Below are 20995 nucleotides of genomic sequence, written 5' to 3'. Positions count from 1 at the left end.
TATTTGTAATGAATTAGTTTGAGCTTCACAGAAGTAAGACAATACTCAACTGAATATTGTCAACACTTTTTCTTTATATTTGACATTTTGAAATAAAGGCAAGGTAAGTACATTCGTATCGATATACAAAATGTGACATTACATATGCAGACCCATGCCTTGTTCTCAGAGATTTACTGAAAGGCTGGTCAATTTCAAACAAAACAAAGTATTTACACACAATGGTTGCGTTCTTGAAAAAGTCAATGTGTATTAAAACTGTTAAAAATACCTTGTGTGTATATGTTAAATGGAGTTAGATATATGGCTCAGATAATTATATCGTGTGTTTTTTCACTTCCGTGATTGGACATTTTAAATGTGGGCAGAAGTTAGGGAAATTTGTCATGGGGACCATATCCCACACGTTGCAGGGTGTTTACTGCCTCTGGCCCCACCCACTAAACGCTAGTGGTGCCTCCCCATCAGTGTGACAATCAAATCCTCCCACAAATTTCCATATGGCTCCAGGGGTATATCTTTTCATTTAAGAATTGAGTTAGTCAATCCTCTGCTTCTCAAGAATTTTTAAAGCAAAGTTTTTTAGGCAACCTCCATAGGTCTCCATTTCAACAAAGTGGTCCAGAGTAAGGAGGCTACACGGTGGCCATATGACCACATAGTGGACACCAAAGTCACACCTGGGTTCCTGCAGTCTTGAGTTCTGGCTTCTCTGGCCCTCCCGTAAGTCCTGGGGATGTAGCTCTCAAGTGTTTGAGCCCCAACTACGTTATCAAATTCACTATCAGATTCATCAATGACTGCCTCATTCACTGACTAACATTTGGGAACAGCTGTGTGCATCTTGAGATCCTTTACTCGGTAGGGTTTTTCTTGTCCACTATGTCTGCCCTCTTGCTTCTTGCTGTGACAAAGCTTACTCGGCTTACTCTTGCTGAGAATTTGCATTTAGAAGAGATGGATGTATTTTATCTGTGCAGCTGAATAACATACAGACAAATGAGTCACACATGGTCAAATTTCAGGAGAAAACAGAGGACTCCTGGGGGAAATAAATCTATCATACCTGTGTAAATATAAGCAGGGAAAATGGTTTCTCGTGAGCTTGATTTGAACCACATTAGTTGGGCAAATTCCATATTTTCTTTCCCCCCACCCCAATCTCTGTAGGCTCCAGCAAATACAGCAGATGTAACCCACCTGACAGGAATGATGAGGAATGTCAGACTGAGAACGAAGGAAACGAATTAGAGAAGGGGAAAGATTTCTAAACTGATTTAAAATACAAGACAATAGCAATGCCAGTTCAAAAATTGACAGAGAGCCTCTAATGTGAATGATTTTTATACAGAATGTTTTATGCTAATTCAGAGGTTAGGATTTCATCTTAAAGTGCTTATGCAGGCAAAACTGACACCAATGATGGTTCAGACTGCATAAGGGATTTCAAGACTCTGGAAATGACTGCCTGAGCCTTAGAGTCATTTGCATTCAGAAGAGTCACTGAAGATGGATGTGCTTTATCTCTGCACCTGAATAACATACAGACAAGTGTTAGTCTTTGTTTATGAATATTTTCCATTACCCCTCATTTTCCAACATATGGCAAACATTTCTTATTGTTTTGCTCCATCCCCTCTTCAACACTCTGCCAGAAACAGCTGGCACATATCTTTTAATGTTTTTACTGATGACTTTTCTGATGCTCTGGATTTCTTCTTGTGATTGGAGTGAAAAAATTATTGATCTACCAAAGACATTAGTTCATGGTTGCTGAGATGCCCGAGTGTTTTTTAAATGAATAATCAATCACATTGCTGATTTCACCTCAGAAAATGGGCATCTTAGGAATTTTCAGAATTAATATTGACATAAACACCATTCTATACTCAAAGGATCGCCACATGATAATGTTCTAAATTGTGGTATTATACCTTTGTAGACTTCACTAATTCATATTTCATCAGAAAATGTGGTGCTCAAAATTGTGGGTACACAGATCATTTAACAAAACCTTGTTAAATCTGATATAGTGAAGTCTTACTAATAAAGTAGTGAAGGATATGCCATCCCAAAATATGCTGCATTGTTATATTCATTATTTTGAGTTGAAAATGTTGGAGAAATTATAGTTTCAGAAAGGGCTTGCTGACCTGTCTGTTCTTGCATGCAGCCAGCCATAAAGATTACTCCAGGAGGGGGGCCTTTCCTGTACCAGAGCAAGAAAATAGACCTTATCACCAGAAGACTGGGAATTAGGGCTGCAATGGACCCAAATAAGTAAACTTCCCAAAGTAACCCTTATCATCTACTGCTTTTATACTCTGCCATATATCTCCTAGGGACTCCCCTAGAATTTATGTCCCTGGCCAGTTCCCCTTTGTCCTGTCATTTCTTCACAAATTTATTGTTCTTTGTCTAAAAAGTATAAAAGCATCTTGCTTTGGCCATTTCTTCGGACTTCACTCTTAAAGTGGAGACCCCCGGTACATGTAAAACTAATGAAACTTGGCTGGTTGTGGCTGGCTCATGCCTGTAATCCCAGCTACTTGTGAGGCTAAGACAGGAGGATTGTTAGATTGTAGGAGTTTGAGACCAGCCTGGGCAATATAGTGAGACCCTAAAAACAAAGACAAACAAGCAAAAAATCCCCGCAAAACAAAAATGTATATGCTTTTCTCTTGCTCATCTTTCTTACGTCAGTTTGGTTCCTAGACACAGCCAAAGAGCTCACATGAGAGCTAAGAGAGAGTGGGGGTGATGGACGTGGAGGTGATCTCTCTCTCTCTCTCCTACACTAATTTCAGTTTAATTTTGATTTTACACAACTTTTCTGAGTTTCTGGAAAATAAAAGCAAATCTGAGTAAGGACTCAAGATTTTCAAAGATTTTTCAAGTGCACATTCAAGAAGCAGGGCCATCACATTTGGTGGTATAGGTTATGCATGGCACACTTGCTGACGTGATGGAGAGGCCCACTGAAACCAACATATGCAGATGAACCTGGACTCCTTGGAAGTCAGCACCTTCAGATGTCTTATATTTGTATTCTAAAACCTCCTATTGGCTGGGCGCGGTGGATCATGCCTGTAATGCCAGCACTTTGGGAGGCCGAGGTGAGTGGATCACCTGAGGTCGGGAGTTCAAGATCAGCCTGACCAACATGGTGAAACCCCGTCTGCACTAAAAATACAAAATTAGTTTGGCATGATGGCTCATGCCTGTAATCCCAGCTACTCAGGAGGCTGAGGGAGAAGAATTGCTTGAATCAGGGAGGCAGAGGTTGCAGTAAGCTGAGATAGCGCCATTGCACTCCAGCCTGGGCAACAAGAGTGAAACTATGTCTCAATAAATAAATAAATAAATAAATAAATAAATAAAACCTCCTCCCAACCTCTGTTAGATTCTCAGGAATATGTACTAATATGGACAGATACATTGTGGCAATTCTCTAGTACTTCACATGAGAGAAACTTTACTATTGGAATCCTCCCAAAGTAGGTTAAATCAAAATAAATGAATAAAAATCATAGTCAACCAGAGTAATATCGTTTGGAATAAAAGTAAAGGAGACTCAGAAACTAATTTTGAAGGTAATTGCAAATGAGGACTCTAAGAAAATGTTTTCAGTGAAATCAATGTACAACCTTCCAAGTAGTTACTTTAAAAAAACCCAAATGTCTGCTTTTTTTTCTTTTTTTTTTTTCTTTGAAATGGAGTTTTGTCCTTGCTGCCCAGGTTGGAGTGCAATGGCGCGTCTAAGCTCATTGCAACCTCTGCCTCCCAGGTTCAAGCTATTCTCTTGCCTCAGCCTCCCGAGTAGCTGGGGTTACAGGCATGTGCCACCATGCCCAGCTAATTTTTTTGTATTTTTAGTAGAGACAGGGTTTCACCATGTTGGTCAGGCTGGTCTTGAACTCCTGACCTCAGGTGATCCACCCGCCTCAGCCTCCCAAAGGGCTGGGATTACAGGCGTGAGCCACCACACCCGGCCCCATGACTGCTTTTTTTTTTTTTTTTTTTTTAAATAAAATGTTCTCATTACTTAATATTTTTATTTTACATTCAGTTTTTAATTTTCTATGCTTCTATGGACAAGAATATTTGACATCTATATGTATAATTGACACCTATAACTTCGTCAAATACTTTCTTGGGCTGGTGACTAAACCAAAGGGAATAAATTCAATTTTATCTCCTCTTTTTGCCTCTGTTTGCACATTGTGTATGCATGTATGTGCACATAGGTACACATACATATATATACACACACATGTATGTCTCCTTTATATACATGTGTATGAATAGGAGTATATACACAAAAGTATATACATGTGTATTATGATTGTATATGTACTTTTATATACACAGTCATGCATCACTTAACAACGGAAATACTTTCTGAGAAATGTGTCGCTGAGCGATTTTGTCATTGTGCAAACATCATAGAGAGTATTTGCGCAAATCTGAATGGTATACCCTACTACATAGCTAGGGTGTATGGTATAGCCTATTGCTCCTAGGCTACAAGCCTGTATAGCATGTTACTGTAGGCAAAATTGGAACACAATTTGTGTATCTAAACATAAAAAAGGTATAGTAAAAATACAGTGTTACAATCTTATACTACCACCATTGTATATGCGGTCTGTTGCTGACTGAAACATCAATATGCAGTGTATGACTGTACATAAAAAACATACATATAGAAAAGAAAAGAGGCAAGCTATAAGAACATAAGCAAGGAAAGACTATATGTCCAGTAAAAGGGTACATTGTGGTCAGTTTTAGAGTGGTTGAGTTAATTTGAGATAAAAATGAGTTGTATTTAAATAAGTATCTCAAATGAAAGTTGTATTATTTGTGTGATGGTCACAGGTCAGAATTAACATAAATGGTTCTCTATATTAAAATATTTTAAAGCAAAAACTGAGTTTTTTTTTCTTTTTCTTTTTGAGATGGAGTTTCGCTCTTGTCATCCATGTTGGAATGCAATGGCACGATCTCAGCTCACTGCAACCTCTGCCTCCTGGGTTCACGTAATTCTCCTGCCTCAGCCTCCCAAATAGCTGGGAATCCAGGCGTGCGCCACCACTCCTGGCTAATTTTTATATTTTTAATAGAAATGGGGTTTTGCTATGTTGGCCAGGTTGGTCTCGAACTTCTGACCTCGAGTGATTTACCCTCCTCGGCCTCCCAAAGTGCTGGGATTACAGGCGTGAACCACTGCGCCTGGCTGAAAAATTTTTTTAAATGATAACAGTGGGCTAATTGAAAATAAAAAGGAACATGAATATTAAAGAGAAAATCAATCTAATTAAACACATGAAAATTGTCAATTTCACAGAAATGCAAATTAAAATACTATCGTTTTTAGTTTTTTATTTTTGAAACGTTTTCTTTTTTTTTTCTTTCTTCTTTTTTTTTTTGAGCTGGAGTTTTGCTCTTGTTGCCTAGGCTGGAATGCAATGGTGCTGTCTTGGCTCACTGCAATATCCACCTCCCTGGTTCAAGTGACTCTTCTGCCTCAGCCTCCTGAGTAGCTGGGATTACAAGTGCCCGCCACCACGCCTGGCCATTTTTTTTGTATTTTTAGTAGAGACGGAGTCTCACCATGTTGGCCACACTGGTCTCAAATTTCTGACCTCAGGTGATCCGCCTGCTTCAGCCTCCCAAATTGTTGGCATTGCAAGTGTGAGCCATCGTGCCCAGCCCTATTTTGTTTTTAATTGACACATTATAATTGTACATATTTATGGGGTACATTGTGGTATTTTGATGCATATATACACTGTTATGACAATCAGTCAGGGTAATTAGCATATCCGTTATCTCAAATGTTTATTATTTCTTTCTGGTGGGAACATTCAAAATCCTCTCTTCTAGGTATTTTGAAAATATGCAATACATTGTTATTTACTATAGTCACCCTACTGTGCAATATCACACCAGAACTTATTTCTCATATCTAACTGTAACTTTGTACCTCTTCACCAACCTCTCCTCATCTCCCTTCTTTTTTTCCTCTGGTAACCACTGTTCTACTCTCTACTTTTTTTTTTTGAGACAGAATCTCTGTCACCTAGGCTGGAGTGCAATGGTGCAATCTCGTCTCACTGCAATTCCACCTCCTGGGTTCAAATGATTTTCCTGCCTCAGCCTCCCCAGTAGCTGGGATTACAGGCGCCTGCCACCATGCCTGGCTAATTTTTGTATTTTTAGTTGAGACGGGGTTTCACCATGTTCGCCAGACTGGTCTGGAACTCTTGACCTCAGGTGATCCACCTGCCTCGGCCTCCCAAATTGCTGGGATTACATGCGTGAGCCACCGCACCCAGCCTCTACTCCCTACTTCTATGAGATCAACTTTTTAAGATTCCACATAAATGAAATCATGTGGTATTTGCTCTTCTGTGCTTGGCTTATTTTACTTAATGTCTTCTACATTTATGCATGTTGTCTCAAATAAAGGATTTCATTCTTTTTATGGCTGAATAGTATTCTGTTGTGCATATATACCACAATTTTTTAATACATTCATCCATTGATGGACACTTAGGGTGATTCCATATCTTGGCTATTGTGATTAGTGCTGCAATAAACATGGGAATGCAGATACCTCTTCCACACACTGATTTCCTTTCCTTTGGATATACACCCAGTGGTGGGATTGTTGGTTCATATGGTAGTTTTATTGTTAACTTATTGAGGAACTCCATACTGTTGTCTGTAATGGCTATACAAATTTACATTCCCACCACAGTGTACAAGTTCCCCTTTATCCACATCCTCGTAACATTTGTTTATTTTTTGTCTTTTTGATAGTAGCCATTCTAACTGGGGTGAGATGATATCTCATTGTGGTTTTGGTTTGCATTTCCCCAATGCTTAGTGATATTGAGTACTTTTTCATAACCTGTTGGCCATTTGTATAACTTCTTTTGAGAAATGTCAGTCTTTTGTCCATTTTAAAGTTAGATTTTTTTTTTTTTTTTTTGCTATTGAGTTTTTTGACTTTCTTACATATTCTGGATAGTAATCCCTTTTTAGGTGCATAGTTTGTGAATATTTTCTCCCATTCTGTTGATTGCCTCACCACTCTGCGGATTGTTTCCTTTGCTGTGCAGAAGCTTTTCAGTTTGATGTAATCCTGCTTGTCTATTTCACTTTTGTCACCTGTGCTTTTGAGGTCTGATTAAAAAAATTATTACCCAGATCAATGTCATGAAGTATTTCCCCTATGTTTTCTTTTAGTAGTTTCATAGTTTGGGGTCTTATATTTAAGTCTTTAGTCTGTTTTGATTTGGTTTTTGTAAGTGGTAAGAAATTGGGGTCTAGTTTCATTCTTCTGCATGTGGAGATCCAGTTTTCCCAGCACCATTTATTGAAGACACTTCCTTTCCTCAGTGTGTTTTCTTGGTGCCTTTGTCAAAGCTCAGATAGCTTTAAATGCATGAATTTATTTCTGGGTCCTCTATTTTGTTGCATTGGTCTGTGTCTGTTTTTCTGCCAGTACCATGCTGTTTTGCCTAGTACTGTTTTGTCGTATATTTTAAAGTCAGTTAGGGTGGTGCCTTCAGCTATGTTGTTTTGCTCAAGAACGCTTTGGCTGTTTGGGATATTTTGTGGTTCCATGCAAATTTTAGGATTGTTTTTTCTATTTCAGTGAAAAATGTCCTTGGTGTTTTGATAGAGATTGCATTAAATTGGTAGACAGTTTTGGGTAGTTTGGATATTTTAACATTATTAATTCTTCTAATCAATGAACTCAGGATAGCTTTCCATTTATTAATGTCCTGTTCAATTTTTTAAAATCAGTGTTTTATAGTTTTCACTGTAGAAAAATTAGACAACTTTCTTGGTTAAATTTATTCCTATGCATTTTATTGTATTTGTAGTTTTTATAAATGGGATTGCTTTCTTGATTTCTTTTACAGATAGTTTGTTGTTGGCATATTAAAATGCTACTAATTTTTTCCTGTTCTCCTTGCTTCTCAACAGATGCCACAGAATTTTAACATAAACATAATATTTACAAAAGCTATGTCACAATGGGGAAAATATTTTTGATGGGATGTTACATAAAAATAAAATAGCACTAGGAATTGTATGTCGAGTGTTATCCTGCAACCTTACTGAATTCATTTATTAGTTCTAACAGGCTTTTGGTGGAGTCTTCAGGGTTTTCTATATATAAAATCATGTTTCCTGCAAACAGGAATAATTCAACTTCCTCCTTCTCAATTTGGATGTCCGTTATTTTTTTCTCTTGCCTAATGTCTCTGGCTAAGACTTCTAGTACTGTGTCTTGCTCCTGATCTTTGAGGAAAAGCTTTCAACTTTTCCTCACTCAGTACGATGTTAGCTATGGGTTTGTCACATGTGTTTATTGTGTTGAGATATGTTCCTTCTACACATATTAGGGTTTTTATCATGAAGGATGTTGAATCTTATTAAACACTTTTTCTGCATGTGTTGAGATAATCATATGGGTTTTATCCCTCATTCTGAATGTGATGTATCAGGTTTATTGACTTATGTTGAACCATCCTTGTATCCCCGGGATGAATCCCACTTTATCGTGGTGAATGATCTTTTTAACGTGCTGTTGGATTTGATTTGCTAGTATTTTGTGGAGGATTTTTGCATCTATGTCCATCAGAGATATTGGCCTACAGTTTTCTTTTTTTGTTGTGTACTTGTCTGGTCTTGGTATCAGGGTAATGTTAGCCTTGTAAGGCACAAACTAAGACAAAATACCATCCTTTCTTTCTTTTTTTTTTTTTTGCCCAAGAAATTAGTAAAAGTTGCACTTAGTAAATGGTGAGAAAGTGAGAGAGAGAGCGAGCTGACAAGGATGGGTGCTTTCATACATTGTCAATGGGAGCATAAATTGATATACTATTTGAAAACACAATTTGAACTATATACATTTTAGGAATCTTTAAAAGTTTTATACCTTCGACCCAATTATGCAACATCTAAGAGTCCTTACTATGAAAGTAATCCCACTGATTAAAAAAACTTCTAGTTAAGGCTGGGCATGGTGGCTCATGCCCATAATCCTAGCACTTTGGGAGGCCAAGGTGGGTGAATCACCTGAGTACAGGAGTTTGAGACCAGCCTGGTCAAGATGGTGAAACTCCATCTCTACTAAAAATAAAAAAACTAGCTGGGTGTGGTGGTGTGTGCCTATAGTTCCAGTTACTTGGGAGGCTGAGGCAGGAGAGTTGCTTGAACCCAGAGGTGGAGGTTGCAGTGAGCCAAGATGGTACCACTGTACTCCAGCCTGGGCGACAGAGTGAGACTCTGTCTCAAAAAGCAAAACCAAAACAAACCAAAACAAACTTCTAGTTAAAAGGAATGTTAATGGGGGCCCTAAATGTCCCACCACAGAAGACTGGTGAGGCAAACAATGACATATTCACTTCATGAAATATTGTACAATTATTTAACATAATGTTTACAAAAGGTATGTCACAACAGGCAAAATGTTTATGATGGAATGTTAAGTAAAAATAAAATATCATTCAGTTGTATGGGGAGTTAAATCAGTCATATTAAAAAGAAGAAAAAGTAAAACCCAAAAATAATGTGTAAAAAAGGCTGAAAAGAATTATATCCAACAATAGGCTATGGTTTTATTTGGCTAATGATGTACTTTTTTTTTCTTACTTTTCTAATTTTCTTTATAGAACAAAACCTACTTCTAAAATCATAATTCATTTATTAGTTCTAATAGGCTTTTGGTGGAGTCTTCAGGGTTTTCTATATATAAAATCTTGTTGCCTGCAAACAGGAATAATTCGACTTCCTCCTTTTCAATTTGGATGCCCCTTATTTTTTTCTCTTGCCTAATTTCTCTGGCGAGACGTCTAGTACTGTGTTAAATAGAAGTGGTGAAAGTGGACATCCATGTCTTGCTCCTGATCTTTGAGGAAAAGCTTTCAACTTTTCTTCACTCAGTACGATGTTAGCTATGGGTTTGTCGCATATGTGTTTATTGTGTTGAGATATGTTCCTTCTACATATATTTAGGGTTTTTATCATGAAGCGATGTTGAATTTTATTAAACACTTTTTCTGCATTTATTGACATAATCATATGGGTTTAAAACCTATCCAATAATAACATACTAAGTAGGCTAAGATAAGTGAATGGTGCAGCTCCTATTCTGGTGTCAGATGAAAAATCCTACCTTTAAGGGAAATGGGTGAATTTTCCAAAAATTCTCGACATTGACATGGTTTAAGCTGAGTCATTACAATTAAATATGAGGTATAAAATGGACAATTATCTAGTTGTGTTTGTCACTTTGTATCCTTTTTGGTTGCCTGAGATGGTTCTGTTTACCAACCACCAGTGAGCCGCCATTTACCCCATGTTGTGTCAGTAAGCCAGACTCCTGGATACCTGCACAGACTGGATTCTCAAGCCACTCCTGGACCATTCTGAGAATTAATTTCTAGAAACTCATTATTGCCTGTCTTCCTAAGGGCCCAATTTCATCAAATCTGATATTTCCTGTCCTCTTAAAATTATGCCTACAGCTATCAGTAACATCAGAAGTTACAGCTAGAAAAATTAAAGAGATCTTAGCTATAATGAGCAAACTAGTCTGAGGATCTTCAAGGATGGGAGGAGAAAGGCATTACCAGACAATAGTTTTAGAAACTCCTTTTGCATTGCTTGATTGGAGAAAGGCCTGGCTTTGCCCTTCTCCCTTTCTCCTGGCTAGTGCCTACTCATCCTTAGGTCAAATTATGCATTGTCACTTTCTCATTCATGCTTTCCTTGACTCCCAAACCAGGATAGACCTTTACACTTTTCACAGCACCCTGTTCTTCTTCTTCCTAGGACTTGTAATTAGTACTTATTTTATTTACTTATTTAGACGGGCTCTTGCTCTGTTGCCCAGGCTGGAGTGCAGTGGCTCAATCATGGCTCATTGTACCCTCGACCTCCTGGACTCAAGGGGTCCTTCCACTTCAGCCTCTGGAGTAGCTGGGACCACAGGCACATGCCACCACACCTGGCCCAATACTTAATTTTTAAACCTTTCTTCCTGCTGGACTCTGAGCTCAAAGAGAGCAGAGCTCTTAATCTATCTTTTTTTAAATCATGTCCCCAGTACCAAGAACAGGAGCCTGGTATGCCCTAGGTGCTGAATAAATATTTGTTTAATGAATGAATTTTCCAGTGTGAAGTCTACTAAAGAATTAGTAAGATCTACCAAAGAACTGTTGGCACAAAACGAAGTAGTGGTGGAGTTGGAACTATAACTACTAAAAGCTTTATTATTTTTCTTTCTTCTTTAACATTTTTATTGTTTTTATTTCACATACGTGTGTGTGTGTGTGTGTATTCATATTATTTCTCTGGCACTGAGTTGAAGAAGATTGGACTTGGCTTTTCGTGCTTGAGGTTGTTGGAAATATACTTTGGTGGTTTCCTCTACTATGAGAATAGCAGACATTTGGAACCCTTCCCAAAGTACAATCTAAATACTCCTTAGACAACTTCATCCACTTGAGTGGTGCTTTTATGTAAAGTTTAGCACAACCTAAGAAATGCATGTGAAGGCATTCTATGATTTGGCCTGTCTATGAATCCTGAGACCCCAAAGTCTCCCTTTCCTAAAGTTCACAATAAATCACTTCACTTAGCACATTTTTTATTCTGCCACCTCCACTTCCCTGCCTTTTTAGAAGCAAAATTCTTGGAATTTATCTTACAGGCACAAATCACCTTGTAATTCTTTGCACTTACTTAGTAGCTATTGAGCATGTAACTATAGAGCTTAACAATTATGATATACTGTAATCATGCAAAGATTTTAATCTTTCAAATTAGATCTCACCTCCACACTGGGGAAGAAAAGGGAATTTACAGGATAATTAGCTCATGGGCTAGTTGGCACTTCCAGTCATTGTCAGGAAGTCCTCTGCATGAACGGTCTTAAGGTACCATTTATTTTTTATTAAGTGCCATTTGTTAAAACTACTTTGCATGCTTCAAATGAAAGAAACTGGAGCAAACGCTTTTCACAAGCTGAGCAGCCTTTTTCCTGTAATGAACGTTGGGCAGTGGTGGATAAATAATTGATCCTCCACATATAACAAGAGGCACAAGTCAAAATGTAAAAGTAATGGCTGGACACGGTGGCTCACGCCTGTAATCCTAGCGCTTTGGAAGGCCAAGGTGGGAGGATAGCTCGCGGCCAGGAGTTTGAGACAAGCGTGGGCAAAAACATAGCGAGACCCAATATTTGATTAAAAAAAAAAAACAAACCATGAAAAATTAACCAGGCGTAGTGGTGCATGCCTGTAAGTTGTAGCTACTCAGGAGGCTGAGGCATGAGGATTGCTTGAGGCTAGGAGTTCCAGGCTGCAGTGAGCTGTGATTGCACCACTGCACTCCAGCCTGGGCAACAGAACAAGACCATTCCTGAAAAAAAAAATTAAAGTAAGATGCCCCACTGAACTCTGCTGTGCCCCCTACACCCACCGAAAGAAGCCAGATTTGTATGTATTCTTTATGAATTGGTTTCACAGAACTCTGGGGAAAGAGAGTTTTGAGTTGCAGAGCTGCCTACCCTTACTCCAAACCAGAGGCGCTCCACCCTGCTGACAGGAGTGGATTGTGCACGTCTCAGTCTGCATTCAGTGACCATGTTTGTAACTTGAAATTGGCCATGGTCGGGTGCAGTGGCTCATGCCTGTGATCTCAACACTTTGGGAGGCCAAAGTGGGCAGATCACTTGAGGTCAGGAGTTCGAGACCAGCCTAGGTGATATGGCACAACCCCATATCTACAAAAAGTACAAACATTAGCCAGGTGTGATGGCACGTGCCACTCCAGAGTGAAACCCCATCTTGAAGAAAAAAAAAAAGAAATTAGCCACGACGGCACTAATTACACCATGAAAATCTGGCTTGTTATACATTTCCAGCACATCAATCTTAAACCAGTTCCAAAGTTACTTCTAGCAGAGAGAAGGAGAGAGAAGAAAGTACAAAAAGAGTAATAAAGGGAGGAGAGAGATAGTTGGGAAGACACACACACACACACACACACACACACACACACACACATCCAGTAAAACAACCTAACAGAGGAGTCCCTGGCCCAGAGCAGAGGCTTAACAAATGTGAATTTCTCCTTTTCTTTGGCAGTAGAGACGAGGAATGAGGACTAAGGGGCTAGTACAGCAGTGAGTGGCTGTGGGGGGTCTTTATGCCTTTTGAGTCAATTGTCTCTGATAAATGTGGCCTTTCCAGGGTTTGACCTACAAACGTGAGGAGGCCGAGAGGAATGTGGTCAGGAAAGGTGGGCGAGTTAAAAAGAGAGGTGGTGCTGTTCTGCATCGGCTCCCATGGCAGGAGACTAGCCAGAGCAGGGAAATATGCAGGAAATTCAGCCGTAAGTGCACAGGGATTGCTGGGGACTGTGTTCAGGGCTTTGGGAAGGCTCAGAGCAATTCTTTCCTAGAGATGTAATTGAACTTAGTGATTTTTCAACTTTGCAATCTTATTAGAAGCCATAAACCATTCTTTATTCACTATGATAAAGAGAATCATCAGGATGAAATTTCATCACCAATCAAAAAGTATTCTTGTGAGCTTATTATGTGACTTGTCCTCAAGCTGGTACTGCAGAGTGCAAGAGAAAGATAGAGCCTTTCTGAGCTTCCATGTTTGCTAATGCATTTCTTTATATTATTATGAGTTCCATTGCCATCATCAGTAAAATTATAGTACTGCTAATAGAGATCCATAATAATAAATTCTCTGCTATGGTTTTACACTTATTCATCCTTAGAGCTGGACTCCATAGGTCTTGTTTCCATGGGTCTCATCAGGGGCAAAGATAATCCACAGGAAATGGTAAGAGAACAATTAATCGCTGGGCAGTTTGATAGTCATGAAAAAATCCAGTGTGATTTAGAGAAGGGAGGTAGCACTGTGGGCAGGTACTTTTTTTTTTTTTTTTTTTTTTTTTTTTTTTTTTTGACAGAGTCTTGCTCTGTTGCCCAGGCTGGAGTGCAGTGGCACAGTCTTGGCTCACTGCAAGCCCCACCTCCCTGGTTCACACCATTCTCCTGCCTCAGCCTCCCAAGTAGCTGGGACTACAGGCGCCTGCCACCAGGCCTGGCTGATTTTTTGTATTTTTAGTAGAGACGGGGTTTCACCGTGTTAGCCAGGATGGTCTCGATCTCCTGACCTCGTGATCCGCCCGCCTCGGCCTCCCAAAGTGCTGGGATTGATTACAGGCAAGAGCCACCACGCCTGGCCAGGTAATTCTTATTTTAAAATTAATTATTAATTTATTATTATTATTGTACAAATAGGGTCTTTCTATGTTCCCCGGGCTGGTCTTGAACTCCTGGCCTCAAGCAATCCTCCCATCTTAGCCTCCCAAAGTGCTGAGAATATAGGTGTGAGCCACTGAGCCCAGCCCAGGTAATTCTTAAAGACTATGTAATAGAGTCTTTCTGAGATTCCATGTTTGCTAATGCGTTTCTTTATATTATTATGAGCTCCATTACCATCATCAGTAAAGTGATAGTACTGCTAATAGAGATCTATAATAATAAATTCTTTGCTGTGGTTTTAGACTCATTCATTCTTAGAGCTGCACTCCAAAGCAGGACATATGCCAAGTATTTTAAATCCCTGCTTTCTACTCACTGAGTCAAGTTCAATACCTTGTCTCCAACTTTTTATCCTGTGAGTAGCAGAGCCAGTGGAAAAACAAAACAAAATAAAACACAAGCTTCTACATGTGATCACTGGCTCAAATGAAATAATTTGAAGACCAATATCAGATTTGAGGATAGAAGTTAGCCCAGGAAAGTTCCAAAATGCCAGAGGAGAAGAGAACAACCAAGAAAGTAATATATATGTATATATATATATACTTCTTGATGTGGAACAGATTTCCTCTGTGGACCTTCAGACAATAGGGAGGTATGAGGACCATATATGGAAAAATTGGAAGTCAAGATAAGTTGAGATTAAGGTGAGCACATGGGTTTCGGTCTCAGCAAGGAGCAATTCTAGGAATGTTTTAGAGATAGCGCCAGGCAGGCCAGCTGAGGAAGTGGCTATGGGAACTCAGCATAAGTTCAAGGGTCAAAGACAGCTTTTAGACTCGAGGCCTTGGGAACAAATTACAGGAAAGAAATAAAGGAAACAAAAAAGATATTTTTATTTTCCAAAGAAGAAATTTAACTGGAACAATATCAGAAAATATAGACAGAAAGGATTAGTGTGTTTTAAAAGTGGCAGAGAAGATGAACAGGGGAGAAATGTAAATTTAAAAGCAGTCATCATCATCAGAAAAATGAAGTATTTAGTATTTTGGAAAGTAGGAAACTTAAATATCAAAGTATAAAAGAAAATCTAAACCTGGAACAGCTCCAAAATTGAATGGGCAATACGTTTTAGTCAAACTATTCAGAGAATATAGGGCAGAGCAGATTTCTAAGACAGAGATATGTCAGTTGTTTCCTGTTACACTGTTGTGCAGACAAGTCATAGCAACTAGTTTGACCAAAAGATACTGTTAAGATGGTTCTTGGATTGACCAGATCACTGTGTCCAGGAGAAGATAGGGATTCAAATCCTGAATGCATTCATTCCATTTTTCATTCACTCATTTAACAAATACTTACTGACTGCCTACTTCAAGTCCGTCTCTGTGCCATTGGGGATATGAAGATAAGACACAAGCAATCCTTGCCCTTGGAGGGCTCTCTGTCAAGCAGACAAAACAGATGGCTTAGAAAATATGTAATTACAAAATAATGTAATGATGTGTTGTAATTAAAGAAAGTTAATAGGCAATTGCATTGCCTTTTAAAAAGAGACTCCCATTTCATTTCTGAAATTATATGTTGCTTACCCTACATAAGAGAATTACCCAATTCCTTTACATTGCTCTGTGGGGACTCTGAGGGCAAAGGAAGGCTATGTTAGAATCACTCGTCATCACGCAGAGAAAGCACAGATGTGACGGGGAGATACAAAGCTTGCCTCTGAAGGACATTTTTTGTTGGAGAAGCTTTCATTTTTATAGCATTCAACATAGTTCAATACTGAGCATCAGTGCTGTAAGAATACCAGCATTCTTCATCTAGCAGAGCAGTTCTTGCCAGATGGCCTTTCCATTTCGCACAATGACATATGTCATTGGCAAACACAAAGGCAAAATGCTCAGTTGAAAAGTCAAAGATTCAGTCAATCAATAGGTCATCTTGTTAAATTGAAATCAAATGAGAAATTTTATTAATTTTGGAATTGAAAAGACATCTTTTGTTTTTCCAGAGAATTAATTAAATGAGAGGTGTTTTAGGGGTATTATATGGACAACAAGCATACTTTTAGAATCTTGTTCAAGAAGGGGAAAGACAATACTTGTAAGCATTCTGGGTTGCGCTGGGGAGGTATACCACGTGGTATATACATGGGTGATAGGATTTGATCTGTAGCATGAATTGATGATACAGGAAGTTCTTTATCACAGGGTTTGTCTCAACTTCTGCCTCATGCCTTTAGCCTACTGGCTTCTTTCTACACAGTTATGGTGTGAAGAATATGCCATTTGTAAAGCCCAAATCAGAAATGATCTATGAACAGAAGCTGTGTGTATTCATACAAAATGATATTGAGAAACGGCCGGGCACGGTGGCTCATACCTGTAATCCCAGCACTTTGGGAGGCTGAGGTGGGCAGATCACAAGGTCAGGAGTTCAAGACCAGGCTGGCCAACACAGTGAAACCCGTCTCTACTAAAAACACAAAAAATTAGCTGGGCATGGTGGCACACAGCTGTAATCTGAGCTACCCGGGAGGCTGAGGCACAAGAATCGCTTGAATCTGGGAGGCGGAGGTTGCAGTGAGCCGAGATGGTGCCATGGCACTCCAGCCTGGGCAACAAAGTGACTGCGTCTCAAACAAATAAACAAAAGAGAAATGTTGCTTCAGGCTGGGTGAAGTGGCTCACACCTGTAATCCCAGCACTTTGGAGGCTGAGGCAGGTGGATCACCTGAGGTCAGGAGTTTGAGACCGGCTGGCCAACATGGGGAAACCCTGTCTCTACTAAAAATACAAAAACTGGCTGGGAGTGGTGGTGGTGGACCTGTAATCCCAGCTACTTGGGAGGCTGAGGCATGAGAATCGCTTGAGCCCGGGAGGTGCAGGTTGCAGTGAGGCGAGATAGTGCCCATGCACTCCAGCCTGGGAGGCAGAGCAAGACTCCGTCTCAAAAAAAAAAAAAAAATGTTGCTCCAGAACGTGTTTCTGAAGAGACATTTGATTGTCAATTGTGCCTAGGTTGGTGTGAGTCTGTATGAGCAGGCTCCAGCACACACTGCTTGAAGCTCAAGTTTATAGTAAGATTCTGTACTTAGTTTATTTTCATGGGGAGTGGTCGTAGCAAATGGAGATTACTGAGGGGAGGTATAAGACACTCTCAAGTTACCCCTTGGTGCTGCCCTTCTCCTGTGGTCAAAACTCAGGAGAAACTGAATACTATAAATCCCCCTCTTGAAAGAATCTTAATGTCCATGAGCATCTTAAGGGATCCAAGTTCTGTTCAACTGAAATGTAGCATTTCTCAAATTTAAGTTACCACCGAAACCTGCCCCATCACCCTTCTGCCATGTTGTTTCCCTACCAAAGTCCTACTGACATTCCAAGGAAATTGTGTTTCTTCAAACATGTTTGTGTGGGTACTCCCAAAAGACTTTTCAAAAACTACGTGTTCCCTCGTGAATATTTAAGTTAACAACTAAAATTTTTCATCATGGATTTAAAGACGTTCACTCTCTGTTAATAGAAGGTAGAAAACATTAACCATATTATAATTTGAAATAAGATTAGAGCTGACTATAGCGGAAATAAATATGATAGATTTGATAAAATAGATTTTAAGTATCTTTCTGAAACACTGAATCAGAATGAATTCAAATATAAATAATTTTACCTGTGGGTTTTATTTTTAAAAAGTTGATAATTGTAGGAAACGTTCCAGGAACATTAAATAATCAATGCCACAAATCTGTATGGCGGTTGATTATTTTGAATTCATTACCTCCAAAAAAGATCAAGGCTCATCCTAACAGAAAGAGCCAAGATGATGGGGAAAGACAGGAAGTCTGTGGGGTTAAGGGACTTTGATGACTCATTACCCTGCTACAGAAAGATATGGGATAGGTTAAGGGTATGACTTTTTTTTTTTTTCAAGTGTGATTATGTTTATTAGACAGTTTTAGAAAAGACACCATACAGAAGTTGAGGATCTAGACACTGATTCCCTTAGAATGATCCACTTAGCGTATGGTCCTCCGTAAGTCTGCGGACCGCGGGGATGTGAGTAGCTCTCTTTGAAGACGTCTGCCTTAGAGTTCACTTCTGGGTGCTGCTTCTGTCAGAGGCATGTGAACCAGAGCAACTCCATCTTGAATGGGTAAAATGAAGCTGAGACCTCCTGGGCTGCATTCCCAGATGGTTAAGGCATTCTAAGTCACAGGATGAGACAGGAGGTCGGCACAAAATACAGGTTATAAAGACCTTGCTGATAAAACAGTTTGCAGTAAAGAAGCCAGCCAAAACCCACCAAAAGCAAGATGGCGATGAGAGTGACCTCTGGTCGTCCTCACTGCTACACTCCCACCAGCACCCTGACAGTTTACAAATGCCATGGCAACATCAGGAAGTTCCCTATATGGTCTAAAAAGGGGCAGCATGAATAATCCACCCCTTGTTTAGCATATCGTCATGAAATAACCATAAAAATGGGCAACAAGCTGCCCTCAGGGTTGCTCTGTCTATGGAGTAGCCATTCTTTCATTCCTTTACTTTCTTTTTCTTCTTCTTTTTTTTTTTTTTAACTCATTTCGAATATGAGAGCACGACAGAGTCTTGCTCTGTCACCCAGGCTGGAGTGCAGTGGCGTGACCTCAGCTCACTGCAACCTCTGCCTCCTGGGTTCAAGTGATTCTCCTGCCTCAGCCACCAGAGTAGCTGGGATTACAAGCACGCACCACCACACCCGGCTAATTTTTTACATTTTTGGTAGATATGGGGTTCCACCATGTTGGCCAGGCTGGTCTGGAACTCCTGACCTCAAATGATCCTCCTGCCTCAGCCTCCCAGAGTGCTGGGATTACAGGTGTGAGCCACCGTGCCCAGCCTATTCCTTTACTCTCTTAAAAAACTTGCTTTCAGTTTACTGTACAGACTCGCCCCGAATTCATTCTTGCACAAGATCCAAGAACCCTCTCTTGGGGTCCAGATTGGGACCCCTTTCCTATAACACAGCCACAGAATTGAGCAGTGACATCTGAATTGGTCTTTTGCCTAAGTCTCTTTTTGGTCCCCAACCATTTAGTTCCATAGCTCCCAAACCTTTTCTCTGTACTATGAAGCAAATTTCACAGCTGGTGGGAAGGTCCCTCCACAACACGGCCTTTGCTGAACTCATGCTTTCTTCCCCTCTGCTCAACCCCTTTCCCCAGGAGCCCTTCGCTCCAGCTTCAGGCATCTATAGACTCTTGCCACTGTGCCTTTGTTCTCTGTCTGGGAATATTATTCTGCAGCTATCTGCTTCTTCTACCTATTGAACAGTTTGACTCACCTCTCTGGGAGGGCTTCTTGTTCAGAGTCTCTCTCCCTGTCCCCCTGTCCTTTGTTTCTACTTCCAGTGTATCTTCTATATCTGTGTGCCTTGAATTAGCATTGCCTGAACATGTATTGTCTCCTTCATTATGTTCACGTCCAGAGCAGCAAGGACTATACTGTATTCACCTGTGTGCCCTCCTAGCACCTAGCACAGTGCTGGATAAATGTTGGTTGGTCGACCTCACCTAGTTTAAAACCATTTGGAATACGAGAGGCACATGGATCTCCAGGAGGAATGTTGCTCATCCTTGTGCCTGGGGGACCTCTGCCTAAGGTGTTCGGCTCTTTGGCACTACCCATAGCTTGGGAAACCAAAGGAATAAAACATCTATTTTCCCAACCTACCCTAACTAAAGTGGCAGTGGTATGTGGGTGACTTGCAAGCTGGCTTATATTTATGGAATAGCTGTGAAATTTGCAGGGCTACCCTCAGCAATACAAAAGCAAATGAGTATCTCCTTTTATTAAGAGAAAAAAAAAAGTCTTCATGCCCAAAGCATTGTAAGGAAAAGAAGACCTTAGTTTCCCCTAAAGGGTTTAAAAAAGAATTTCCGTTTCTGTTGTCTGTAGTATCTGTGTGGCAGGTCCCTAATCTTTTCTTTTTAAAATTTCTCTCAAAGGATGGTTAAAGAGTCTTTAATTAACTATTAAAATGAGTGTTCTAACATGGAGGACAAGATTTAGAAAATCCCTTTAATTACTGGAACCAGATTTTCTCCTGATTTGTAAATGCCAGTTTACTCCCCAACCAAATTTGGCTTTAATTAAACAGGTGGGAGGCTGAGGGGGCGTGAGTGCTGGAAAGTGCCTTAATTTGCATCGGCCCCAGTTTCAATGACCCTACGGTTTACTGTTTAAACTGGAAAAACAAGCAAAATGAGATTTGCTTTCCAAACCAGGAACTCATAGAAATGAGACACACCCTTGCCACCTCCAATTTATTCAAATACCACTGCTGCAGGATTACCAGAGGGTCCTTCAGTGGTATGAATTTATGAAGGAGCCATGCTTATTTATTTATTTTTTAAAATCTCTCTAGATACATTAATGAGGCAAAACTAGGCTTATGGTTCTAATGACAAAGAAAGAAAAACCAGAGTTTGCTCTACCCCTCTCTCAATTTAATGTTTAACATTCAGTGCGGTGCACAGTTTGTTGAGAAAATAAGGTACATGTTTTGTCATTCCCCTTACGGATTTCAGTCAACACATGGAGGTGTTTGAAATGATCTGCTAATCCAGTTTTCTTTCCTTGAACCATCTGGTTCAAATTCTGTCTACCTGCTTGGGGTGCACCAGTCTCGTCTGCA

The 20995-nt window shown here is 39.8% G+C and overlaps 2 annotated features.

The window, feature by feature from the left end:
• Positions 15840 to 16134: a silencer, noted in NCBI's record as "tiled region #12094; HepG2 Repressive non-DNase unmatched - State 23:Low". NCBI's record gives its function as "represses a minimal TATA promoter and a strong SV40 promoter by Sharpr-MPRA in HepG2 cells {active_cell/tissue: HepG2}" and the evidence as "EXISTENCE:reporter gene assay evidence [ECO:0000049][PMID:27701403]".
• Positions 18013 to 18373: a transcriptional cis regulatory region, noted in NCBI's record as "candidate enhancer chr5.1766 targeted for multiplex CRISPR interference". NCBI's record gives its function as "positively regulates ENC1 gene expression with high confidence in K562 cells {active_cell/tissue: K562}" and the evidence as "EXISTENCE:mutant phenotype evidence [ECO:0000015][PMID:30612741]".

Source organism: Homo sapiens, chromosome 5, assembly GCF_000001405.40.
Source record: "Homo sapiens chromosome 5, GRCh38.p14 Primary Assembly".
In the NCBI taxonomy this organism is placed as follows: domain Eukaryota; kingdom Metazoa; phylum Chordata; class Mammalia; order Primates; family Hominidae; genus Homo; species Homo sapiens.
The sequence above is the reverse complement of the archived record's forward strand: the minus strand, read 5'-3'. Positions and strand labels throughout refer to the sequence as shown.